Source organism: Homo sapiens, chromosome 10 (genome assembly GCF_000001405.40).
Source record: "Homo sapiens chromosome 10, GRCh38.p14 Primary Assembly".
Taxonomy (NCBI): Eukaryota; Metazoa; Chordata; class Mammalia; order Primates; family Hominidae; genus Homo; species Homo sapiens.
Window position 1 is genome coordinate 32343518 of NC_000010.11, and position 3171 is coordinate 32346688.

The 3171-nt window shown below is 43.0% G+C and overlaps 1 protein-coding gene across 17 annotated transcripts in view, besides 1 other annotated feature; it reads right to left on the reverse strand.

Annotated features, from left to right (window-relative positions):
* Positions 1-3171, reverse strand: part of EPC1 (enhancer of polycomb 1) — a 111019-nt gene that overhangs the window by 75767 nt on the left and 32081 nt on the right. For 2 of the 17 annotated variants that reach the window (NR_168506.1, NR_104160.2), the window contains exon 2: positions 1595-2045. The exons of 13 other annotated variants lie outside the window; for them this stretch is intronic. The gene's annotated coding sequence lies outside the window, so the exon portion shown is untranslated. Of the gene's footprint in view, positions 1-1594; positions 2107-3171 lie in introns of those variants that run through there. 2 more of the 17 variants (NR_168507.1, NR_104159.2) reach the window with 1 other exon arrangement.
* Positions 2672-2951: a silencer, noted in NCBI's record as "silent region_2286". NCBI's record gives its function as "represses an Ori minimal core promoter by ATAC-STARR-seq in GM12878 lymphoblastoid cells {active_cell/tissue: GM12878}" and the evidence as "EXISTENCE:reporter gene assay evidence [ECO:0000049][PMID:35858748]".

Consider the following 3171-nt stretch of genomic DNA (forward strand, 5'->3'; position numbering starts at 1 on the left):
TACTTTCAGACTTAGCAAATTTCGATGCATTACATTCTGCGAATTCACATTTAATCTCTAACATCTTTGACCCAGTCAAATCCTTCAATTTACCACAATCTGAAGTTACTTTTTCAGTACTACTACAATTAAAAAAATAGATAAGTTCAGTAACATTTTCTGCCTCCAAATTATTTTGGGGGGGGGGTGTAAGGGCTTCTACTTAAAGTTGTTTCTTAAAAAGTCTGCCTCGTTAGGCCCGTGTGTGCAGCTCATAGTATTAAAACTGGTTAAATGGGAATACACGAATAATACTTATTTTCCCAATGTTAAAAGACCTGGATTTCTGTCAAGTATATCCAGAAACAACGTAACAATTACTAGGTGTATTTCACATGACAATTCTGCAGATTATTTTGATCAATAAAATGCTTTAATCAGGTGGTGTATAAAAAAACTGCCCTCACCTTTCAGGACCAACATAGGACTACATACTTTTTTTTCTAAGACAGTCAGTTCAGGTTCTAGGTTACAGTGACCTAATAAGATAACAAATAACTAATGTGTCAGTTAAAGGCAGAAGTTTGCTTTAACCCTTCCTCTTTATTAGAAGTACAAAATACTTCCGCACATCAAAAAGTTTGTTTTTCTATGGAGAATCCAGAATTCAATTACCTTTATGTTTAATATACCTTTTCAACACTGCATAACACACTACTTTCAATATTATGATTTACACACCCTACCACTAACAGCATGAACCACAGGACTGTAAAGCAGCTTGTTTACCAGGTACTTTTTACATTCTTCCATTAGGTTCAGTGTCTATTCTTGAGGTCTATGCTTCTCTCCTCATACATAGCTTTGGTTGGATGTGAAGTGAAAAATTCTAAACAGATATTTGGAAAAGGCAATCTGAAGAAAAAAAAAAATCCCTGTGTTTCAAAATTAGGGACTCCACATGTTACAAACTATTGATAGCCACTGCAGTATAAAATGTCAAAATTGGCCGGGCGCGGTGGCTCATGCCTGTAATCCCAGCACTTTGGGAGGTCGAGGCGGGCGGATCACCTGAGGTCAGGAGTTCAAAACCAGTCTGGCCAACATGGCAAAACCCCGTCTCTGTTAAAAGTATAAAAATCGGCCGGGCGCGGTGGCAAGCGCCTATAATCCCAGCTACTGGGGAGGCTGAGGAAGGAGAATCACTTGAACTCGGGAGGCGGAGGGTTGTAGTGAGCCGAGATGCTGCCACTGCACTCCAGCCTGGGCAACAGAGTGAGACTCCATCTCAGAAAAGAAAAGAAGAAAAATCTAAATTATTTCAGCGAATAAAAATTACCCGTAAAATTTAACAAGCACTGATACTTCATTGAGCTCAGCTCTGACTTCAGGTTGTAACTCTTGGGACTGTCCAAAGTATTCACAGAAGCAAGACTTAACTAAAGTCTAAAGTGTACTGTTGTGCTGTCTTGCTTTAATCAAGGCTTTCCCCTTCCTTGGCTGCTGAACAAGAATTACAAATTAATTTCCAGGGCAGGGTAAAACCAACACCCCAATACTTGAAAGTATTATCTGTAAAACTTAGAAATAAAAATAAAACCAAAAGACAAGATTCTGCAGTCACAAGTACTTTAATTTTTAAAAACAAATCACTTATTAAAAAATAAACAAATGGCCATGCTACTCTAAAGTTGATACAAGTAAAATAAATTAAGAGGTAGTGTCTCATGAGACAATGTGCTGAAAGTCAGTGCCCAACTAGACAATCTGAGCTACTACATACACTTGGCTTATCTGTAAAGTTAGATTTAAGACACTACTCTCAAAAGTAACATTTCACTGTCACAGCTATTTCACTTTAAAAGGTTAAACAACCCAAAGAGTTTAAACAGTTTTATTTCCAAAAACAACATTACAGAGCATAATTTCTACATTAAAAATTCTTACAGTACCAAGAGAAGTATTACAGTACAATTTTCCACAACAAAATTGTAGCACACAAATCCACGCGACTCCTGGACTTCCTTGAACTGTCAATACACTGCACCCTGTTTAAATGGCTGTACCTGAAAACCAAGGTATGCAATTCCTTAGGATTAGAAGTCATCAAGTTATACTGTCAAGGATCTGGGGGAAATGAGAGGAAGATTCTATTATCCTGGTGTCCGAACCCAACTTCCACAACAAGGTAAAGCCACAGCGATGGTAAAATGTCTATTAGTTGTCAACATTTACGTGCTGAAACCCACCCAATTTAGACATCTCAATATTAAGATTTCTGTGAATCAAGTCACTTAGTTTTAGTTCGGTTTTGAATAAGAAAGGATCCTCCTTCGAAATTTAGATCTATAAAAGTTACTTAAATTGGGTCTTTTCTCCCCCTATGTTGAGATACCAGAGAGCAGGAGAACTTAAATTTATTTTACAAATAGGTAAGGTTACAGGCTTCAGAAGAGAGAGGTACTCCAAACAAATCTGCAAGATATTCGCAAGGATCACAGAAAAAGTCAGGGATAGTGGTTTATTATCCTCCGACCAACTAGCTCTGGAGAGGGATGGATACAAACGTCCCAGAAAGAGGACACTGAAAGTAAGTCTTATCTTCTAGAAAAGTAAGTCGTCCGGGCAAACACGCTGCACCCTCGACATTTCCTTGCAGAGGGGGAGAAAAGCCTCATAGAGCAGCAGGCGACATGACATGCCCGTCTGAGGCTCCACGTGGGGGCTGCACTGAGCCCAACAAGCTTCCCAGACCATGGGGCAATCAAATTCCCCGACTGTGCACAGAACCTGCGCTCCCGGCCCGGGCAGCGGCGCGCAGGCCGCAGTGGCCCTGGAGCGCCACCCAGCGGCCCACGGAGAGGCCTGTAGGCGGGTCCTCCACGGCTCCCGACTCGCCGCACCCCCACAGCCACCCAGCCCGTTCCCCTCTCCGGATGCACAAGGCCCAACCCAAGAACTAAGACACAAAATGGCTGCCGGCAGCTTCGTCACGTGACCCCTTTGTGCCTTTCGGGCCCCCGAACTCCGCGGGACCCGGGTACAAGTGGCCAGGGTCAGCGGGTGGCCTTAGAAGGGGCCCCGCTGGGCCGCGGCGGCCGGGGGTCGAGGCTGGGGGAGGCGGGGTATAGGCCCGGCCGGCGACTGAGAGTCGGCGGCGAAGAGAAGATGGCGGCCATTTTGTGTGGGTTT